A 24,594-nucleotide genomic window follows, 5' to 3' on the forward strand; every position below is an offset into this window, starting at 1 on the left:
AGAATTGACACTCTTAAGTTGATATCAGACTAGTGACCCATAGGTGATAGTCTCTTGTAGCTTATTAGTAGTGCCCTGAGGAGTTCAATTTTAAGCTCACTGTTTATTTGTCACTTGTGAGTGTAGAAACACCGATCATGCAGGAGTAGTATCAAGATTCTAGGCATATTCAGTCATTTTTAAAAGAGAGATAATAACCTTCAGTACAACTATACACTTTCTTATTGTAATTAGGAATTTCCCTAAGGAAATATATCTTAAAGCGTCACTCTCTAATTTCCTATTTTTTATGTGTCAGGTGTCTCTTGATGTAAAATTTATAGTTATAACTTGATTTTTAGGGTAACTTTTTTCCAATTTTAACACTCTTCATGATAGCAGTACTCTGCTTTGTTAACTGTATCAGTTTGGGTCTTCTGTGGATCAGATGCCAAAATGAAATTAGACATGCAAGAGATTTATTGGGGGAGACACCCATGTTGGAGAAAGGGGAGAGCCTTCAGACAGCAGTGAAGGGTTGACCATGCAAAGGAGAAAGTGAAGGTAGATTGGGTAGAAGAACCACAGACTGCAGCTAGTGCTCAGAAAATTTCAGCCAGGCTGCTGGGGAGTCCTTGAGCCAAAATTAGCCTTTAGAGGAATCCCTTATTTGGCAGGAATGGCTAGGTTCTAGTACCACTGCTGTGTTCAGTTGTTGGCAGGGAGCTGCCCAGGAGAAGTATGACCTGGTGTGAATGCCCAGTAGAGCCAAAGGTGTAAAAGCTGGAGGTTGTGAGTCAGTCATGCGCTCCACAGCAGGTTCTGTTGAAAGATCTGAGCTGGGCAACTCCATCAGTGCCACAGTTAGTAACACTGAAAACTACAGTGGCAGAAACATATATATTATTTTATTACCAAGTCTATGAGGCATCGTCATTCATGAGCAAATGGAGAAATTGAAGGGTTAAATAACTTGTTAGAGGTCCCTTAGCTAGTAAGTGATAGACCCAGAATTCTAACTTAGGCAGGATTGACTCCAGAGTGCCTCAAGCATTTAAACCTCTACACCATACTGACTACATGCATATGTTGAAAAGTTTTCTGTGAAACTTTATTTTTATTATAACTTAAGTAAATTCTTTTCCCAGTGTTTCATGAATCTAAAAATGTCTAATTACCTTTTACCATACTAGTTTCTAAAGATCGATTTGTTTTCATTAAAGCATATACGTTCAAAACTTGTGGATTTACTCTTTGAATTTTGATGCATGTCTTCACTTGTCAAAAAAAGTAAATTATGCAAGTTACACCCCATCCCCCTTTTCTCCCAATATACTGAAGTTGTACTACAGATCTTTAGCTACAGTAAGCAATTCTCCGAGGATGAAGAAAGAAAATGTACATACACATAGGAATTTCTTTTCCAGAGCTAAAATTGACATTTTATAAATAATTTCCGTGTTGCAAACTTGAGACTAAGAAATCACAGCAATTCAGTGATATGCATTTGGCATGAGTCAGTTTTAGTTCTTAGTGATTTTCATTGGAAATGGCATAAAAAGTAAGATTTCTCTGAATTTTTTATGCTGTGGGCTTACAAGAGACATAAGATGTTTTTCTCTTATAGATGTCTGGCAGTGCATGGCAGCAGAAGTAACGAAATGGTCACAAACCCCAGCAGTACTTCCCAGGTCACATGCACTCTTAATTTTTAAAGAATCTAGAAACAACCTAAGCAGTTGATAACAGGTCATTTCTAGGTGATAAAGAGTATTGGATATGGGTTAAGTGTTGCCTTTCTTTCCACACCTTTCATTTTTATAATCATTTAGAGATTTACTTTATATAGTGATGGTTTTATGTTTTAAAATATGTAATCTAACTAGTAACTGAATTTTTACTTTTTTTCTTTTTAGTGTTTGACATTGATTTTGAGGTCTTAAAATTTTTTTCAAGATTTTAAAAATTATTTCAGTTCGTCACTTATGTTTACCCCATATATGATGAACTGAATAATTTTTATTATATATAATATATAGGTATACATATATAATACATACATTATATATATAGTGAGCTGACTTGAGGTTATGGAAGATTCTGATTGTTTCATTTTTAAGCTCAAGAAAATGAATGCATCATAAATTCTTAAAACATTACTTCTACTCTGTGTAGATACCCATAGTCACTGACTGTAATATAAGTGCAACTGGACCAAAGGCAACTACTGAAAAGAGAGAGAGAAAAAAATTACAGCTACTGCCAGAAGTGTTTGTGTATTTTTTTTAAAACAGCTTTGTATTAAACTAATTTGAAGAGCTTTGCTTAAAAATAGCTTCCTTCGGATGTAAAAATTGGGAACTATAGATTGGTGCTTTACAAATTTAGTCTAGTCTTTCAGTGACCTAGCAGTTGATATGAAAACACAAATTTTAAAATAAATAGCATATTGGATGAACTGTATTCTACTCATGAAAGAAGCCAAAAAATTATGGTTTAAACTGAGTTTTAAGTAATAAACCAGATTCGTCATTAAAATGAAATGATAGATCCTTGACCCTTGGGCATGCTTGGAATAAATACGGAACTCAGTATTGTTTTTAAAACTATTTTGCTTTTATAATCTAAGACAGATGTACAAAAAACATGCAGTTTTTATTTTGTATTGGCAGCTTCCAAATATTTAGTATCTATTTCCAAGAGTTGCAATTAGTAAAGCAACCATGGTACTGAAATCTGCACATCCCACAAGCTAATTATATTTGCAAGGTCAGAGTGAATACATATTTTCAGAAAAATAAAGGGTTATATAAATATGTGTCTTCTACTTGGCTGTTATATCACAGTTTGTTGATCTGGAGTATAATGTGTACAATTCACAAATTTGTCTGATAACAGAAAGTGGTGTGTGATTGTGTTTATTTTACTAACCAGTATATTCACAGCAATCACTTCCAAATATCTCTCCAGTAAAGATGTGTTAATTACAAAACAGACAAGGTCTTCTATTATATTAAAGCTACTAACAAGAAGACAGCAGGAATCACACATGTAAATAGCATCATCAACCCCTATTTTAGTCCTCTGTTTTGATCTGTGAGTTGCGCATAGACCAAAGGTGCTATTAAAGACTGAGTGTATGAAATAGGCAGCATTATATGAACAAAATTTATTCAACAAGAAAACAGACCTTTAACATGAATTTAACAAGCCTGAGAAATTATAAACTATCATATGCTGCAGATTCATGCAGTGATAATAAACAAAAAAGGAAAGTAAGAGGTTTCCCTAAGCTAGCCAAACTGCTAATGGTTTTGTTATAAGCTGTCTACTGTTGCAGTGACCTCTGAAAAGTCTCAAGGCACTTGTACCAGAAAAAATTAAATGGTCAGGCGGGTGAATAGAGATTCAATGTATTGTGTAGGCCTTCAGCATGGAAAGGAATTTTTCAAAGTCTAGCATCATATTCCTGAAAATATTCTTCATACTTTAGCTCAGAGGTTTTCGTTATTATATATTAAGGAGATAGTTTTTGTGTAAAGTTTTTTGGTTAAGTTACTGTTTGAGTTTATAAGATATAAACTGAACTAATTTAATGTCTATATACTTCAAAATGAACTGTTTAGAAAATTCAGAGAGCTCAAAAAAATGGATTATTTCCCCTACCAACCCATACATTAATTAATTCTTGGGAGTTCTTTGTTCAGTGTGTTATATCTAAGATTTCTGTTCTTAACCATGGAGTGACCATTTTGCTGTCATTCTATTGCATCATGCTGTAAATACACAAACATGGAGAAACGCTTTCAGCTTATACACACCATCGAGTGCTCACTAGGGCTTTTTTTTTTTTAATCTTACGGTGGCATAATTAACACCTTCTTCACCCATTGCTCATTAGCGCACTGGACATTAATGAGTCTATTTTGATAGGTTGCTCTAAAGGATAAATCCACTTATTTTCACAGTGCAAAAAGCAATTATAAAATTATACCAAAATTAAAATGTAGACTATATTGCCATGTTTATATTTTATTGCATACTAAATCTAATTTTGGTCTGCAGGTTGTTGAACATGTTAGTTTCCTTAAGACAGTTGCTATAGTGATGGCAGCAAATTCCTTTAATCTTAGTGTAAAGTAGTCATTTTCTATAGGCCATCATTGCTACTCAGGAATTGTCAATGAAAGCATCTCATTTTATTAAGTTCTTGAATTTTTCTCTTAGTTTCTTAAGAAAATTTAAAAAATTTGTTTTTAACAGATCATGATATCTACTGAACTAGTATTTTCATTTCCTTTTTATGAAGTTTCACACCTGCTTATAATATTTCAGAGAAATAATATAGACTTCTACAAGTAAAATAGCTGTCTGCTATTTTAGTTTCAAAGCATTCAGTATAAAAAAGTATATAGGAATTTTGTTGTGATATATAATGAAATTTTCATAATTTTGTAGTAGCTTTTTCTCCCTCTCACAAATGAATTTACTGAAATCTTGAAATGGGCCAAAATGATGCTTTGCTCCTAAATATTTACTGTTAACAGTTAGGGTGGCAATTCTTAATTTTCTATTTAAGTTATATACCTATCTTGGAAAATGGCCACCTTCTTCCTCCTTTGCCAACATTTTAACTTTATCTTATTTTATGTTCTTTTTTAGTATGAGTGTGAGGAAATTTTACTTCTATATTTTTAACAATTGTTTGAAGTTATTTATGATAACATCTGACTAAAATATGTCTGATAGTACTTGTTTTTATTGCTTTTTTAAAAAAGAGAATATGTTTAGAAAAAAATTTTAAGTATAAGCATGTAGGCCATATTTATATATAAACATGAAAGTTAAGTGTGGATTAAGGTTATTGTATAAAAAGAAAAAAGTTTTCACAAACTATTAATTCATGTTCTGGGGATACTTGGCTTTATTTTGATGCAAGAGGAATGAATCTTTGGGAAAATGTTAACTGTTCAAAATAAAAGTAAAATTCAGAGTTGATATTGTAGGCCGAATGAGTAGACAGAAGCTTAGACTGATTAACTTGTCATCATGTTTTAGTCTAGGTTTGTATTTTTTGTTATTGTCTTTGGACCCATCATAGCAATCTTTTACAAAGGGTGATTTTCTTTCTTTAAATCTTGTTCTTTAGCATACAGCATACAGTAATACTTATTACAAGCAGAATTTTCAGACTTGATTAGATTTGGTTGGCTTAACTATTTTTAATCTCTTAATATCCTCAAGTAATAATTGTATAAATAAGAACAAATCTAGTTGACACAGCTTTTAAAACATTGATAAATCTTAATCGTTCAGCACTTTTAAAGGCAAAATATAGAAATACTGTTACTTAGTATATGATCTTGCTGTAAGATTGTTTCATGTGATAAATCTATTGAGTTAAATTCCCTTAAAGTGGCAATCTGTCTTAAAGTCACATGACTTTACATAAAACTTTACAGTGTTGAAAAGCTTTAGCAAGTATGTGATTCTTGTTAATCTCTTTATATGTAAGAGCTAACAGATGTTATTGTATCATAGGAGAATTTGAAGTATTTCTGTACACACAAAAAGAATATACTTATTGTAATATCTTTACCATGAATTTAGGACCATATCATTCCATACCATTTTCTTGGCTTAAAGCATGGATGACCTTGGTTTTCTTATATTGTGCCTTTTATACTTGACAGTGGCTTGGACATTTAAGGCCATCAGACAAGGTATAAAGTCTTTCATAGTCACAAGAAGTAAAAGGTATCTGACTAGAAGAGAATATGTGGGCAAGTGCCTTGCTGGCTGTAATTTTGTTGTCATTTCAAGTACTGTGGTGGTGTAATTGATGTGACAGGGCTGGGCTTTAGATGTGGTCCCTTAACTTGTGCTCACTTTCAGTTTTAGTTTCTCTGTCATTCATTTTGATTAGGTAAAATTTAGGTGACAAACATATGCACACCAGTGAAAGCTGTTTGGTGTAAGTTTAGTAATGACATATTTCAATAATAAAGATGCAAAGTTAATTTTTTTCTTTACTGCTTCATGAAAATTGCAATAATTGGTGTCACCTTACATTACAAGATAGAGGGTGGTGTGCTGATGGCACAGTCAGCAGGAGGTTCTTTTTTATTAATATTATAATTAAATGATTTTCTGGATATAGTCCAGAAACAGATGCACGTCGATCATGCCTTGTCCACTGTTGCTTGGCATTATCACTTGCTTTTTAAAAAAAAATTGACTTGACACCTTGTTTTTACAGGTTGTTATTGATGCCTTCAGATTGATCAATGCTAATATGATGGTCTTAGGACATGAACCAAGACAAACAACTTCGAATCTGGGTCACTTAAACAAGCCATCTATCCAGGTATTGCCTATATTTGATAATGTGTTAAAACTCTTTTAAATTTTAAAAGCCTGCTATAAGTAGTCTTTTTAAGTTCTAATTCTTAGCATTTTAATTTGCTTGCAAATTAATTTTTCTTTTGTTTTAAAAGAATTGTGGAAATACTGTTGTAAAAATTAGATTTGCTCATATGTGAGTCAGTTTTTAATGGGGTCTTTAAATTTTCCTATCATATTTGAGGACCCCCTTTTTGGGAGCATAGTAGATCTTTTATCTTGAAAGCATTCTGGCTTTGCATGGTTAACATTATAGAGAAGGACCAATAGGAGTTTCCGGTGAAGGATGTAACTATTATCATTGCTTGATTAGTAGGTATTTTTCATAGCAGAAAACAATGGAGAAATTGCTGTATATTTTAAGATATCCCTAGAAGTAATTCTTAAATATACTTAAAATTTTCTTCTTTAAAAAACCCACCTTTAAAATAAATCCTATAAAAGACATCCATATGTTACTTGTGATGAGAGTTTATGTCTTGTTTTTTATTGTGATAGTCAATTACCATTAATTGCAGTTACTGGTATTCAGACACTTAATATCCTCTTGAGTGATTGTTTTCTTTGTATCATTCACATGCCATGGTGTTTTTATACAAATCTTTATTTTCTGCAAAAATTATTTTAAATGTGTTTTTAAACGCACCACAGTCTGTGTCTATCTAGTTAATTACTACTCTAAAGATTAATTAAAAGGACAGAAATACCATGTTTGGTTAAGTAGAATACATAAAACAAAGACATTATAGTAGCTATTGCTGCTCCCTTCTGAAACCTTGCTCTGTCATGAGGTTGTCTTTGGGGAGTTGTGGCTTTGACAGTTAACCATGGTTAAGCCTTGGTTACACTTTGATAACTTTATACTTTTAAATGCTTAATTTTGGGGCAGTCACTCATCTGTAATCTTCATCAAAGTGAAGTGTTTTGTTTTAAAGGATTGAGGTGTGTTGATTTGAAAAAAAAAAATGCAAGTCAAGGAAAACTGCAAAGTATAATGTGTATGAAATAAGCTACCAGTGGTTTTGATTGGGTACAGACAAGCCTGTACTTGCATGTTCCAAGAGAATATATTATTGGACCTGTTTAGCCTTGATAATGACCTTTCTTATAAACTTCGGTAGCATCATACTGCTTCATTATTTTTTGCAAAAGGTTAAGTAGCATCTCACAAGCCAAGATCATTGTGATTACTACATGGTATGTTTCTGCCAGAAGTTTTTACTAATTGCAAGTCACTCACCACCTGTTGCAGATTTCTTTTTTAAAATTAAAGCACTGCTTTTTAACCTTAAAAATCGACTGTAATCAATATTAATAACGTGTTTTTTCTATACCAGTCCAGTTTGTATTTTTTAATCTTACCTTATAGCCTGTAATTTAAAGTGCACCTTATAAAGCAGGTTCCAAACCTGTGTTAAACAACATGTGTATGTAACAACTACAGCATCATTATTTTTCCTTTCATTTTAGTTTGTTTTGCCTTCCAGTTAGAACCTGTAAATATATTTATTTCACAGTTTATATAGCGCCTACCAGAATGACATCTATCTGGGTGCTCTACAGTTTTAAGACAATTTCAATACTAAAACACACAAATGAGACCAAGCCAACAAGTGACAGAACAAAGCCACACCTTAATACACTTTCTTATTTTTCTAAGACAAGCTAGAAAGCAACCCAGAAGAGCCTGAAGGGAATGGTAATATCTGTAATGGAATTTTATTTTATGTTAGCAGGATCTTTAACTCTGGGATCAGAAACCTTTCAGAAATGCCATGCCTTTTATTTTGAAGGGGGAGTTAGCTGGTGTTAAGAGGGGCCTTGCTCCTAAACCAGCTTTCAAGTAGTAGGGATAAAAGTCTGATAACAGCCATCAGCTCACATGCTGGTGGTCACTAATGATTTTCTAACAGATTTTTTTTTACTCTTATACTTAGTAGTAGAGAAAAATTATGATTCACTGTAGACTGCTATTTAATAACTTGGGGAAAGTTCAAATATGTTAAGTAAGAAAAGATTATAAAACAGAATATATCAGTTCTCCATTCTGCAAGTGTATATTTTATAGATGGTGCCTATATATTTATACCAGGATATTAGCATTGGTTACCTTTGGATGGTAGAATTATGAGATTTTTTTGTCTTTCCTTGTCCATATTTCTTAAATTTTTTTACAGTGAAACATATATTGCTTTTAGAAAATGTTATTTTTTAAAGTACTACTTGACAGTGTTGAAATAAGCTAAGAGACAAAGGTTATTTTCACGTTCATGTTTTATATAATAGAAGCCACTAATAATCCTGATAGAGAGGAGAAAGTATAATGCCTATCCTCTAGGCTTTTATATTAATATATGATAATGTATATTATTTTTATTTTGCACTTGGAACATTTGGCTATTACTTTCAAATGTTTAGAATTGAGAGTTAACAAGCATTTATTTTAGTAACTAAATTTTTTAAACTATTCCATTATAAACTGTTCAGTGACATTTTGGATTCTTAAGTGTCACAGTAAATTTGAAGATTGGTAGTCAGTCTCATGGAAATTTACTAAATATTGATGCATAGATGCATGTGCTAAGGCTAAGAGCCTCTAAGTATAGTCTTGAGTACAGTTGCATTGTTTAATAGAGTTAAGCTATTTGGAAAACATTGTTTCAGTAATTACTGAACATATAAGTTATAAAACAATTGCACTAGAAAGGAGCCATTGTAGTCATTTAGTACATGAGGAAACCTGAGGCCCATAAAGTTGAGTTGCCCAGGTAATCCAGTGAGGTAATGTAGGAACTAGTACTCATAACCAGACTGCTTCATTCTTTTATATTATCATTGGAAATTTAATTAATTAATTTTGGCATAGAAAATATATATACAGTTAAAAAAATTTAAAGTACAAAGTCATTTAGCAAAAACTCTCCCTTCCTCTTTTGCCTTCTGCAACTCAGTTCTCCACTCTAGAGGGAACCACAAAACACATTTTGTTTCTTTTCAGTTATTCTATTTATATTCAAAAAGCTTCATTTTAGAACGTGATTTAAAGGATATCAGTTACCACCGTATTTTCAGTTTATCAATATAAAATAAATTAAGGCAAACAAATTTGTCTTTAGATCCAAGCACACCTTTTTAAGGAGCATGAAAACTTTTAAAAACTTATCAGGAACCCATGAATAGCTTATATATAATCCGTAAGCCGTGTGTTTTATAATGCACCTGCTTTTCCACAGCAGTGAGTGCATAGAGGTAAAATCATAAGTCAGTTGGTCTTGTGTAGTTCTACATGAACCCAAAAAGGACATGGCCGGTTGACTTATGATTTGGGAGGAAGGCACTGGGGGCACACAGCAGGTGAGTAAGTGAAATTGAAAGACTACTTGAGGATATCATTTGATTTAAACTTACCTTTGTTTTGTTATTGTTATACCTGCTGATCTTTCATGCTGTCTGTGTTAGTTTTAATGCTTTTATCTATATAATGTAATTGAAAATCAAGTAGATTGTGCCTTCAGACACCAGTTAATATTTCATTAGTACAGTTAGTCTCAAAAATATAGGGCCTAGTATCTGTGAGTCCATTAACTGGCTTCTGTATGTATTGGCTACAGCAGTTACTAGCTTTATGACCACCATGTAGGGTTGTGCAAGTAGTGAGTGCATCGCGCAAATGTGCTTGGATGAGGGAGCTTCCAGCTCAAGCTCCACTCTCTACGCCAGACTATGTCTGCTTAGAGGACTGAGCACCTTTTTCTAATTCTCTACCAGGCTGATTCACCTCCTAATGTACACGAATATGAGCACAGATTAAAGGAAGCCCTGATCATTTCTACTTTTTGATCTGTACAGTATAGCATTTTTATGCACTAAAATTTAATTCATTGCTTCTGATGATTATTGAAATGAGTAAGGATTTAATATACACTCTTGGTACTTTACAATCAGTCACTGCTCCCTATGGAATTTCATAGCTCACTTTTATAACAGACATTGGTAAAATAAGAATCTATTGTTAAAGTACTCATCTAAAATATTTTAATACTCATTGGAGTGATTTTTGCTAGCAAAGCTTAAAAATTAACATAATGCTTTGTTTCATCCTGATCCTTAAAGTAAATAGACTTAATCCAAGAATTTCCTGACATGTATTGTGGCATAGTATGTTAGAAAGAACATAGGCTATGGAATCAGAATGACCTAGGTTCAGATCCCCATCTAGCCTTTTACTAGCTAGAAACTTGGACAAATTAATATTTGTGTCTTATTTTCTTTCTTTTTTGTTGTTTTTTTTTTTTTTTTTTTTTTTAGAGATGGGGTATTGCTATGTTGTCCAGGCTGGTCTTGAACTCTTGGGCTTAAGTGATTCTCCTGCCTCAGCCTCCCAGAGTGCTGGGATTACAGGCTTGAGCCACTGAGCCCGACCCTGCATTTTATTTTCATCTGTCAAAATACAAATTGAATTGCCCTACCTTACAGTACTATGAAGATTAGAAGATGTAATGTGTAAAGCAGATACTAGCTGCTCATTAAATGTTCTCTTCTTTACCCCTTCTTCCTCTACCTCAGTGACATCTTAAGACCTACATTGTAAAAGTCTATTAGTTAGAGAAGTGGTGGTTATTTTGGTTAGTTTTTCTCTTTAGATTCCTGAGGGTTAACCCCAAAGTCCTTTTTGTTTTTATACTTGTTAAAAATATCCCTAAAGGTTTATTTCTGACTTTCATGTTTTTCTAGGCTGCCAGAGGATCCTTTAGGTCCACCAGAGTACTGTTGAACCTCATTTGAACACTTGATGTTGTCAGAGTTAGATATGGGGGCAGTTGTGAATTGATTTCAGGACATCCAGGATTATTGTTTCTTAATAAAGCCATGCTATTAGCTTAAGATTTTATTATGATTGGCCTGTTCACCTTGGAGACAGAGTGAGGTGAAAAAAATTCTGGTTGGTGAGATTGCATGTCACTGGATAAGAGCATGAGCTAGACAGACCCAGTAAAGACCAAAATCCACATAGTTAATTTGGAGACATGCATAACATAATTATTTGAATCAATCAAAACTGAATTAGGAAAAGGGGAATTCCAGATTAATGTGGGTAAAGAAACAGCTGTGTTATTGTGGCTTTTTAGGCTTTTCATTTGAAATACCCATGAGCCCCCTAGATATCATAAAGTTAGATTTAATAAATTATGAATGATTTATAAACTTAGCTTATGATAAGATCAAACCTTATCTCTGACTGAGCAAGGCTACTGAAACTGCTTAATTTGTGCTCCTCCATATCATGCTTTGAAGAATGTGTAACCCGTTCCTCTAAACCTTAGTTTTAAACTTGTAGCTAAGAAGAATACTTTAATTTCATCTTAATTTACTTGAAATAAAATGCCTTTATTAGAGGATGGTACAGGTATTATGTAAGAATATATCAACAGTTTCAAACATTTTTATTAGGTGAAAAATATTAATTTGTCCTTTTTAAAATCATTTATCTATATAGGCATTAATTCATGGACTAAACAGACATTATTACTCCATTACTATTAACTATCGGAAAAATGAACTGGAACAGAAGGTAAGTTTAAATTTTTATCTTATAGGAGGAAAAAAATCTTTTTCAAACCATTTAAACTATTACCTGGTATGTGATTTAAATTCGAATTTTTGACCTCTTTCAGTGTTTCCAAATATTATTCCATTATTGATGAATTGCAGCACAAAATAAGGGAATATTTTATTGGACTATTTAAAGACACATTTCACCTTATTGGTAGGTGCTGAAGTGGGAGAGGAAGTAGGAAATAAATCAAACGTTCCACTTTGGTTTTATGATAAGTCATAAAAATATTTCTTTTAGTTCTGTGATTTTTCTGATTAACTTATCTTCTTCAATAAAAAGGCCTTTTGTAATTAAATTAGTAATATATTGCTCTGTAAATTTGAGAGGAATAACTTAAATTGCAGTTGTGTAGTGCTTTTTGTTTGTTTGTTTGTTTGTTTTAAGAGATAGTAGGGTCTTGCTCTGTCTCCCAGACTAGAGTGCAATGGTGTGATCATGGCACACTGCAGCCTTGAACTTTTAGGCCCAAGGGATCCTCACTCTACAGCCTCCCGAGTAGCTGGGACTATAGGCATGCACCACCACACCTGGCTATTTTTTGGGTGGTGGGTGGGAGGTAGAAACGGAGTCTTGCTTTGTTGCTCAGGTTGGGCTTGAACTCCTGTGCTCAAGTGATCCTCTCACCTCAGCCTTCTAAAGTGCTGCAATCATTAGCATGAGCCATTGCACCCAGCCTAGTGCTTTTAGAAAACATACCATGTTTACTCTAAAGAAAACTAAGCTGAGTCAAAGGGAAACAGTTTTAGGGTTTTCAGATAATTTGTACTAGATTCTGATCCCATTTTATACCAGTTTTCAAGTTTGATTAGTTTTTAACATTACCTGACGTTTTGATGAATTAGCATTCTCATTTGTTTCTATTTTAGGATTATTTCTAGTACAGTTTTTCTCTCAACTAATGCCAAGTATTTAAATCTGCCTGTTGTTTTTTGATATTACAATCTGAACCAGTTTCCCCCCTTTACTATTACAATTAGTCATCCACCTAATTAGTTTCTTGTATTTCTCTCTGGGAAAGTTAAAAGCATTTTTTAAAAGAACACTGAGTTTACTGTTGATTGATAGCCAGTAAGTTTTGGTTAGTGAGACCGCTGTCAAGTCAGAAAGTGATAAGTAATCAGTAGCAAATAAGATCATTCTATCTAGCCCAAACTGTTTCTCACCAAGGTGTCTTAGAAGGGGATTCTGGTACATGGCAAGTGGCAGATGGAGTGAGTTGGGCTCTCCACGCTTACCCCCTCTTTCAACCAGATCACATCCATTTTTAATCTAATCTATATGCTGGGGGGGAGGATGTGCAATATAAGATTTTCCTTGAAATAAGAATTCTAATTTTGTTTTTTTAAGTTTGATAAACTAGAGTTTTAAAAGGTCAAATCCACTCATAAACTCATCTGAAGGGCCCAGTGCTTGAGCATGTGATGAGTGAGGGGAGTGGGGGACCACTTCCCCCTTGGCGCAAGGGGATCTTATAATGCTCTCTTCTAATTGCCTGCCTGTGTACCACAGTTTACTTCTGCTGTGATAGATTTAGTTGATTAAGTGTATTTTTAACACTTATTTTTAAGTTTACATGGAATGAGTACAGTCTGTGAAAAATGGCACCATTCAGGGACAAACAAAATTCATTCAGAATATAAATATTTTATCAGACTGATATCTGACACCCATCTATTTGGAAATGTCTAGCTAATTACATCAATTTTTCTTTCTTTTTTTTTGGGGAGTATCTCATAAACTTAGCCATTTTCCTTGGCATAAAAAGCAAATATATAAGCACTTACATAAATTACTTAATGTTATGTTTATGTTCTTAATAGCTCAGTTTAGCTGTTAACCTGCCTTCTTGGTAACAAAAGCTCTGCCTTTACTCTTATCCAGACAACTTGTTTACTTAACCCCCAGCCTTACTCGAGGGTCGCAAGGGAATCCTTGTCCAGGTATGATAGGAATATCCTGTTGCTCCTTGGGAACTGTCTTTGTTTGCTTTTGAAGTGGTAGGGAAATCTGAGTCTCAACACTTAATTATAGGTAGCTGTATAGCATAGGTAGTTGTAGCAGCACCCACATTTCCCAAACATGTATTTTCTAGAACAGTATCAGTGGAGAAGCTAGGAAGGAATCAGAGAAACTGAAATCATCTGTGGAGGGTTTTCCTAATTTTTTTTGGCATACTGTCCTTACCCCTGGAGCCATGGGAGAAAATGGGAGAATTAGTGTCCTTGGAGCCAAAGGAAGGGAATGGAGGAGTTTTGTATCTTCAAAAGCCTTATAGGTGATTTTGACAGGCAGCTTATTTTCCAATGTAAGATAAAATTTGTACCACAAATAGCTGTAAACTTCTAAGCAAGTAGGATAATTTTTCTAAACTAAACCCCCATATACCTCCAAGTACATCTTCAGATTCTTATGGCTCAGGGATCTCATTTAAAGTATAATGGTTCTATTGACGAAACAACAGTCATTTTATAGCCATCATTTTTTTTCTTTTACTTTTCACAATTTTGTGAATCATCCAAAGGGAAAAAACTTCTTATTTAATGATGGTCCTCAATTGAAGAAAATTTGTAGGGTAGGACTTTAAGAAAAACCGTCTTAAAATATAAACTTGAAAACTTAGGAACATCTAAGAATAAGTACTCAGAATTGTAAGTCCAATTTGAGAAACATTGAACTAAGGTGTTTAGTTTCATGATCACTGATATAGAATCCAACCCCAATTTGCTGGTGTGATTGCACACTAGATAATTTTTTTTTTTTTTTTTTTTTTGGAGTCTCACTCTGTCACCCAGGCTGGAGTGTAGTGGCGTGACCTCAGCTCACTGCAACCTCCGTCTCCCGGGGTCCAAGTGATTCTTCTGCCTCAGCCTCCCAAGTAGCTGAGATTACAGGCGTCTGCCACCACACCCAGCTAATTTTTGTGTTTTTAGTAGCGACAGGCTTTCACCATTTTAACCAGGCTGGTCTCGAATTCCTGACCTCAACTGATTCACCCTCCTTGGCCTCCCAAAGTGCTGGGATTACAGGCATGAGCCACTGTGCCCGGCCTAGATAAATCTTTTATTTGAGAATAAAAGATTTTCATGGCTTTTCATCCTGACAATAAGGAAGTTTTAAGTTTTTAAATTATAGATGGAATACCAGAATTTGAAGGAAACTTTGAGATTACCTAATACAAGCCCCTTAATTCATAGATCTCTAAACTGAGGATCAGAAAGATTGACACAAGGTCACTCAATAAATGGGGCATTTATCTCGTTATCTTGGCATTTGAAAGCTAGGCTATATGAAAAATTAGAGATACTTATAAATTTCATTAATTCATTCATTCATCAGATATTTATTGAGCTATTATTAGATATTGTTCTAGAATTTAGACCCTAGTGATCTTGAAATGAATAGGGCAAAGTCCCTGCCTTCTTGATTTCCCTTTAGTGGGAGAGAAATGCAGTAAACAAGTAAACAAAAATTTCAGGTCTTTGTAAGCATTATACAAGTAATACAGCAGGTTAAGGGAAGAAAGATTTTGTTTAAGGTAGTGTAGTGTGACTATTTTAGGTATATTGTTGTTAGGGAAGACATCTATCTGTAAGGAAGAGAGGAAGGTAAGTTATGCAAAGATGAGAATAGCCTTCTAGGTAGAAGGACAGCAAATGCAAAGGCCTTGGTGTTGGAGTACTCCTTAAGTTATATTAATACAAATATAGGAGCATTCTAATTGGAGTTCATTTGAATTAATAAAGTTAAATCCATTAAGTCGAAATGTTTTTTTTTTTTTGAAGTTTTTTTTCTCTAGACAATGAAGGGGGTATCCTCAAGGCAGAAAAAGAATTACTTTTTCTTTTATTTTTTAGATGTTGCTAAATTTGCATAAGAAGAGTTGGATGGAAGGTTTGACACTTCAGGACTACAGTGAACATTGTAAACACAATGAATCAGTGGTAAAAGAGATGTTGGAATTAGCCAAGAATTACAATAAGGTAAAAGTTACTTCTGCCATTTCTTCTTTATAATCTTTGGAATATGTATGATTAGATGCCAAGCATTGTGTAAGTAATTAAAAATAGAGAATCCTGTTTTGTAAATAAAATAGTAAATATTTGCTTTGCAGTTCATCTGGTCTGCAACTACTCACCCTTGCCTTTGTAATGCAAAGGCAGCCATACACAATATGTAAAAGAATGAATGTGTTTGGGATCTATTAAAACAAGCAGCTAGCCAGATTTGTCCCATGGGCTATAGTTTGCCAACTCCTGTTGTAGACCATGTAATACAGTTGCACATTTGAAATCTCTTCATTATTTAGGGTATTTTTTTCTTGAAAGGGACAAGGAGTAAGGGGATATAGATAACAACAGCACTTACTACTTGCTGTGTCTAATTTATTTTATGAACGTTTCCATTATTTAATAATTATTTATTGAAAATCTAATGTGCCAGGCATATCATACATGTATACATATAGATTGCAACTCATTAATGGGTTGAAAACCTACAATTTTAAAATACACATTTATACATTATGCAGTGTTATATTAACAAATATTTATTGAACATCTCTTATACAAGTTATAATAGAAAATGGATCCTTGCTTTATTTATAGGAAAACAGGAACAGTTAGACAAGCTTCTAAATAACCAGGGCATTAGTTAAAAATCAGTCTGTACCATAACACCTTCATATTCAGATTGTCCACACACCAGCTACATTAGCATCACCTAGAATCTTGTTAGAAATGCAGACTTTCAGACCTAATGGCTCAAAATCTACGCTTTAACCAGCTCTCCAATGTCTACTCTTGTAGTTAGACATTAGAGAAACACTACCATAGAGAAGACCATGGGAAGCCCTGTAGGAGCTCATAGGCTCTGACTTTCAAGCTGGCCAACACCCAGGTTGCTGCCTTACAGATAAACAACATTTGAACTAGGCCTTAAAGCATAAGTAAGACTTGAACATACAAAGAAATGTTACCCTAGGCAAAATAAACATCACAGGCAAGGGCTAGGAGATAGAAAAGGCATAGAACAGATCCCGCAATCCCACCACTGGTTGCACATCCAAAGGAAATGAAATCAGTACGTTGAAGAGATGTATGCACTCCCATGTTTATTGGAGCATTATTCATAGTACCCAAGATATGGAGTCAACCTAAGTGTCAATCAACAGACAGATAAAGAAAATGTGGTGTATAGATATACATACAATGGAATACTATTCAGCCATTAAAAAAAGGAAATCCTGTCATTTATGACAACATGGATAAACCTGTAGGGCATTATTTTAAGTGAAATAAGCCAGGCATTGAAAGCCAAATACCACATCATCTCACTTATATGTGGAATCTAAAAAAGTTGAACTCATAGAAGTAGAGAGTAGAATTGTGGTTACCAGGAATGTGAGGTTTGGGTGGAGCGGGGTGGGTTGGGAAGGTGTTGGGGAGCAAAAAAGACATAGGACATGTTTAAGAAACAATATGCTTGGCTAGCATGCATAGAACGTGAGGGTGAACAGTGGGGAATTAAGTTTTAAAAAGTTTCTGAAGTCTAGTAATAGCACTTGGGATGTCAGGATAAGAGGTTTTTTTGAGGAGTTTTTGTTTGTTTGTTTGTTTGCTTTTTGAGATGGAATCTCACTCTGTCACCCAGACTCAAGTGCAGTGGGGTGATCTCAGCTCACTGCAACATCTGTCTCCTGTGTTCAAGAGATTCTCCTGCCTCATCCTCCCAAGTAGCTGGGATTACAGGCGCCCGCTGCAACACCCAGCTAATTTTTATATCTTTTAGTAGAGACGGGGTTTCACCATGTTGGCCATGGCTGTTCTCAAACTCCTGACCTCAGGTGATCCACCTGCCTTGGCCTCCCAAAGTGCTGGGATTACAGGAATGAGCCACCGTGCCTGGCCTAAGAGTTATTTTTGATCAGAGGCATGATATGCTTAGAACCTGACTTTAGAAACATGATTTCACAACAGTATAGAAGGAACACTGTAAGAGAAGATTTGAAATGGAGAGTGTGTTTAAGAGGAGCTTGCTACTACCCAAACAAAAGGTACGAAGAGTCTGGATTACCATGGTAGCAGTGGGAATGGAGGTACCAATAGGCAAATAAATAAAGCATGGCACTGGTCGGATAGACGAAGTGAAAGAAGGAGGAGGAATCAAAGAGGAATTCAAAGTTTCCTGCCTGGGTGACCAGTAGTATGGTAGTACCATTAGCATTTTCAATTTAGGTAGAAGTAGAAGGATTGAGGAAGGAGGTAAAGAGTTTATTTTTAAGGAAGCAATTAGAATGTGGGACTAGGAATTAATGGTAAAGGCTAGAGCTCAAGATTTCAGGATCATAGTTAAGATTGTTGTTGGTTATTACACCAAAACGTAGTATTTCCCTTTTAAAAATAAATACATCTTAAAAAATATTTTATCCAAGAGACAGTGTATAAAATTTACCAAGTGTAGCAATAAGACTTTTGAGAGAACTAAGCTTTAAAATAAAGTTGATGGGCCCATACAAATGAAATCCCAGCAGAATTAGGGTTGGCTTTGAAAAGTATGCCCTGATTATAGTGTTTCAACTGGAAATCCCCATTAGTGCTAGATTGTAGGGAAAATATTTCTTATCTTTCTAGTATACGTTTTCATGCTGTGGAGATTAGATAAAGAGAAATAAATCGCTCACCGTATTTTAAATAGTTAACCTTTTATAAGTAAAAAAGTTATGACTTAAGTAATTATTCAGCAGACTGTAGGAATGGTTTTCATTTCTCTTTAACATTACACGTTTAAGTAAATTTGTATTGGTACTACTGCCAGGAAATAACCTATTTATGGTTACTGCTGCCCATCTACAGAAGTTTTTCCTATTTTACAGTTTTAAAAAATCTCTGTAGTACTCAAAAACTTGTAAGGTTTGGTTATAAAATGAAAACAATGTGTAAGCTGTGATATGAAAGAGTCCAAATTTGGGAATGTAATTCCCTCTGTGATTGAAAGAAATACGGTGGGTTTTTTTAGTAACACTTAAAATATAAAAAGAAAGGCCCATGCTACCAATTCTTCATAGTATTCTTTTTAATTGGTTGGTGTTTTAAGCTAAGGTAATTGCTGTTGGATGCCAGTTAGGTCCTAAAGTAAAAGAAGGTTAGAGAATAATTAAATTCTTACGTCCCAAGTTTTCAGTTTCAAGTCTGAATTCCACACAAATTCTGCTTGATTATTATTAGACATTTGATTTTTTTCTAATTACTGAACCACAACACCCACAGTTCTGTTACTCCAAGTCTCCTAATTTATTCATGCGGAGATGCATCTGCTATTTTTTTTTAATTTTGATAATGTTTGATTACATATTTGTAAATGAATGTGCAGGTGAAAAAATGAATTGTGAAGAACATTTTAAGAATAGCATAGAAACAAAAATTTGCCTTTTTTTTCCCAAGCATGTAGTGCTATAAATTTGGAGATCTGACGGTTTACTGTTCAGGTAGAAATACTGACCTACTTAGTAACCTGAAAGAAAGTTTCAGTATTTCTTTTATATGCTTACATATGAAATATGTAAATATACAATTACAATTGGTTTAATACAGTAGCTATATTAAATGGAGAAATCTCATTTGGTAGTACAATATGATAAAAACAACAGATATAAATATTGGGGAAAACAGGTAAGATGATTATTATTTGGATATGATAGAATGTGTTTGCAATCAAACATAAAAATCTAAGAGAATAAACTTAGAAAACTCTTAGAACTGTTTTAATCAAGAATTATGTAGGTGGTAAACAGTTATATAAACTGAAAACAGTTGAAAAATATAATAGGCAAATCAGTTCACAGTACCATCTAAAATTATAAAAATATTCAGGAATTAACCATCACAAGAAATGTAAATGTATAAGTGTGTATGACCTTTGTGAAGAAAATGAAAAACATTTGTAAATAAATTGGGACATAACCATGTTTCCAAATGGGAAGACTTAGTATTGTAAAGCTGCTGTCAGGCTTCCCAAAGGTTACTATAATTCTAGTAAGAATATTAACGTGAGCTTTGAAAAATTTGATAACATGACATTAAAGTTTATCTTCATAAAATAACAACTAACATTTACTGAGTGTTTGTTACGAGTCAGAATGGAAGAAAATATTTTTACCTATAACACAGAGTGAGCTAGTATCCAAAAATGCATAATATTCAGAGAATTCCTATAAAATATTTATTTTATTTTTGTTTTTTATTTCTGTAAGTTATTGAGGAACAAGTGGTGTTTGGTTCCATGAGTAAGTTCTTTAATGCCGATTTGTGAGATTTTGGTGCACCCATCCCTTGAGCAGTATATACACTGCACCCAATTTGTAGTCTTTGCCTATAAAATATTTTTTTAAAATAAGTTGAGCAAAAGAGAAAACTCACTGAAGACAAATGGTGTATAAACATGGAAAAGTTCTAGCCTTTTTAAGTCGTCAAAAAAAGTTAAAATAAATAGAAAAATATTTTTTCCTTTTAAATAAAAAAGAATTTTTTTAGGAAAATATACCACTAGTGGGAAAGTAATTGATACATTTTTGGAGGCCGTCTTTCAGTTTTAAGTGCATATAACTCTTTAAACCACATGTTCTCTTTAAAGGATTTATTATGAAAAATAAAATTTCACAAAAACATACAGAAATATCTACAACCTGCTGTTAGATGTACAAAATTAAATTGTATAACAATGTTAAAATAATTCCTATCACGTTATCTTCTCTCCCTTTTTCAAAAGTATCTCTATCTTGCATATATGTCAACATATTGTGTTGGTAACAGTGTGTGTGAGGCAGGAGACTCCTATACTTTATGTAACGCCTGAATTATTTTCAGTTTTTGCATTAAACAAGTAATACTTAGATCTAAGGTTGTGTTAGCTCAAAATAACAATGGCTTAAACAAGGTAGAAAGGTATGTCTCATATTTCAAGTCCAATATAAAACTTCAAAGACATTAGAGACCCAGGTTCCTTCTATCTCTCTGCTCTGCTTTCCTTGTGTTGGCTTTCTTCCTTTAGGTCACCTCATGATTCATTGTGATTGCGATAGCTTCAGCCATCTCATCTGGGTTTCATGCAACAGGAAGAGAAGAAAGGGCAAAAGGGGGATAAATCAGTTTCCTTTCAGGATCCTTTCCATAAGTTCCACACAGCACTCCTGATTACAACCGGCCCTGGAACTATATGGATTTGGACTGTATAGGGCCACTTATACATGGATTTTTCTCATAAATATATTAGAATCTTTTTTGAGATGTACAACAATTTGAAAAAAACCTCAAACTGCATAGCCCAGAATTATTATTTTTATTTTTATTATTAAAGACAAGGTCTCACTGTGTCACTCAGTCTGGAGTACAATAGCATGATCATGGTTCACTGTAGCTTCCACCTCTTGGGCTCAAGCAATCCTCCTGCCTCAGCCCCCCAAGTAGCTGGGACTACAGGCATGTGCCATCATGCCTGGCTAATTTTTTGTAGAGATGGGGTTTCACTCTGTTGCCTAGGCTGGTCTTGAACTCCTGGGCTCCAGCAATCTGCCTGCCTTGGCTTCCCAAAGTGCTGGGATTACAGGCATGAGCCATAGCACCTGGCAGCCCAGAAATATTGAAAAAAAAAAACAAGGTATGTCACAAACGCATAAAATATAGGAGACACTAGTCTGTTTTATCATTTGCTACCATAAAACATACACTAATCTACTATAAAATAAAAATTTGTCAAAATGTATACATACATAGATGTACATGGCACCATTCTCAGTTAAGAAAGTTGAATTGCTTGATATGTACTATAGATAGAGGTCTGCAGCTGCTGTTGCCTGCCATTTCAGACAGGCAATTCACCTTGTAAACAGATAATGTAAACTTATTGTATTGATAAATAAGTACGGTACTGTAAATGTATTTTCTTTTCCCTACACCTTTCCTAATAACATATTCTTTTCTCTAGCTTACTTCGTTGTAACAATATAGTATATGATGTATATAACGTACAAAATATGTGTTAACTGTTTATATTATCAGTAAGGCTTTCAGTCAACAGTAGGCTATTAATAGTTAAGTTTGAGGAGAGTCAAAGTGACATACAGATTTTCACCTGTGACGGGTTAGCACCCATAACCCTCATCCCCATTTGTTCAAGGGTCAACTGTACATCTCATTTGACAGAACGTAGTTAAATGGACGCAACTAGCTGCAAGAAAGCTTATGCAGTGTGTGCAATGTGGTCTTTTAGCTGGGGTCATTGATACCTTTAGTAAAATCAGAGTTATGTTACAGCAGAAGAAGGGGAAGATGGACATTAAGAAGGTGACTGTCGGATTCTGCCATAGAAATTTTTTCCAACAACCTTAACTACAGTTTCTCTTACATACATATATACACACACAAGCATGTGTGCACATACATATATGATCTTTATTATTCATCTCTATTTCATGTAATTACATTCTGAAATTGAATTCTCTGTGAAATTTTTATGAAGCAACTATGTTGTTTAGGGCCACTTAATAAATCATGCATTTGACATTATTATTATTATTATTCAGGTTGTATCAGTGAAAAGTAATGATTTCCCCAATTGCCATGAATGTTTCTTTGAGGTCTTTGGAGATACATAGGACTGTGTTTAAGCCCCAGTGTCATTGCTTATTGTGTGTATGGCTAGAGGCAAGTCAGCCTCTCTGAACTGTGTTTCCTTATCTCTAAAATGAGGTTAAGGATTGTGATATATGTGAAGTATCTGGCACATGATAGGCATTTAATAAAATGATAGCTACAACCACTTCTGATGTTATTAATATTCTTGACTCCTCTCTCTTTCTCACATCTACTCAATCAGTAAACCATTCTGACTAAATTCTTGAATTAATCTGCCTCTTCGCATTGCCAGTTCCACTGCCTTACCTCTTAATTGGTTTGCTTGCATCTCCAGTCTTTCCCTTTCAAATCAATTTTCCATTCTGTAGAATGATCTTTCTAAAATGCATATTGGTCATGCATCAAAGAAAACTATTTAAAAAAAGAGAAAAGACAACCTACAAAGTGGGAGAACGTTTTTGCAAATCAGGTATCTGATAAAGGTCTAATATCTAGAAAATAGAAAGGCATGTGTGGTGGCACATGCCTGTAAGCCCAGCACTTTGGGAGGCCACAGCAGGAGAGGATCATCACTTGAGCCCAGGAGTTCAAGGCCTGGGCAACATAGAGAGACCCTGTCTCTACACAAACACACACAGAATTAGCTGGGTGTGGTGGCATGCACCCGTGGTCCCAGCTACTCAGGATGTTGAGGTGGGAGGATCACCGAGGCCCAGGAGGTCAAGGCTGCAATGAACCGTGATCATACCACTGTACTTCAGCCTGGGCAACAGAGCAAGGCTCTGTCTCTTAAACAAAACAAAACAAAACAAAAATGAAAAGAAAGTATACAAGAATTAAAAACAGGAAAAAAAAAAAGAAACTATAAAGAACTCTTGCAATGCAGCAACAAGAAGACAATCCAGTACAAAATTAGGCAAGGACTTGGATAGAAATTTCCCAGAGAAGATATGCAAATGGTTACAAACACATAAAAAAGATGTTCAATCAATTATTGGTCATTAGAAAAATGCAAATCAAAACCACAATGGCTAGAATCAAAATAATGAAAAATAACAAGTGTTGCCAAGGGTATGAAGAAATTACTAGTGGGGATATAAAATGGTACAGCCACTGTGGAAAACAGTTTGGTGGTTCCTCAAAAAGTTAAACAGACAGTTCCCATATGAGCCAGCAATTCTGCTCATAAGTATATACCCAAAAGAATTGAAAATAGGTATTCAAACAAAAAGCGTGTATATGAATGTTCATAGTAGCACTGTTCACATTAGCTAAAGTTGGAGACAATCCAAATGTCTATCAGTAGATGAGTGGATAAACAAATTGAGGTATGTACTTACAACATACTATTACTCAGTCATAAAAAGGAATGGAGTGCTGATACATGCTACTACATGGATGGACCTCTAAAACATGGTAAGTGAAAGAAGACAGATGCAAAAGGCCACATATTATATGATTCAATTTATATGAAAAAAACAGACTAGGCAAATCCATAGAGACAGAAAACAGATGTGTGGTTGCCAGGGACTTGGGCAAGGCAGGAATGGGGAGGTAACAGCTTAATGTGTACTAGGTTTTCCTTTGGGGTAATGAAACGTTTTGGAATACAGGTGATTGGGGCACTAAATGTGATTGAATCGTACACTTTAAAATGGTTAATTTTATGTTATGTGAAATGTACCTCATTTTTAAAAATGCAAATTGGTTCATGTCACTACCGTGCTTTTAAAAAGCCTTTGATGACTGACTTCTCATTGCCTTAGAATGAGGTCCAAACCCCATTTGGCTCCTGCTTGCCTCTGTTGCTTTATTTCTTATCACTGTTGTGTTGTTGAAATACTGAGTAATTTGCAGTTCTTCTAACTTATAATGCTTTTTCTTGCTTCCTGGCCTGAAGCACTCCTTACTACTATATTCCCATCCCCACTCCTTTTCATTCAATTCTCAGCCTAACCCTTTCTCACT

At 34.3% G+C, this 24,594-nt stretch overlaps 1 protein-coding gene across 1 annotated transcript in view, besides 1 other annotated feature; it reads left to right on the forward strand.

The window, feature by feature from the left end:
• The window catches only part of PSMD14 (proteasome 26S subunit, non-ATPase 14), a 103,293-nt gene that overhangs the window by 70,801 nt on the left and 7,898 nt on the right, over positions 1–24,594 (forward strand). Inside the window, exons 8-10 of the mRNA NM_005805.6 lie at positions 6,239–6,346; positions 11,879–11,953; positions 15,853–15,978. Of these exons, the coding sequence (NP_005796.1) occupies positions 6,239–6,346; positions 11,879–11,953; positions 15,853–15,978 (309 nt within the window). The remainder of the gene's footprint in view (positions 1–6,238; positions 6,347–11,878; positions 11,954–15,852; positions 15,979–24,594) is intronic.
• Positions 18,292–18,451: a silencer, noted in NCBI's record as "fragment chr2:162254028-162254187 (GRCh37/hg19 assembly coordinates)". NCBI's record gives its function as "represses an EF-1alpha promoter that drives an FKBP-Casp9 reporter gene in an ReSE screen in K562 erythroleukemia cells {active_cell/tissue: K562}" and the evidence as "EXISTENCE:reporter gene assay evidence [ECO:0000049][PMID:32094911]".

The sequence above is a fragment of the Homo sapiens genome, chromosome 2, assembly GCF_000001405.40.
Source record: "Homo sapiens chromosome 2, GRCh38.p14 Primary Assembly".
In the NCBI taxonomy this organism is placed as follows: Eukaryota; Metazoa; Chordata; class Mammalia; order Primates; family Hominidae; genus Homo; species Homo sapiens.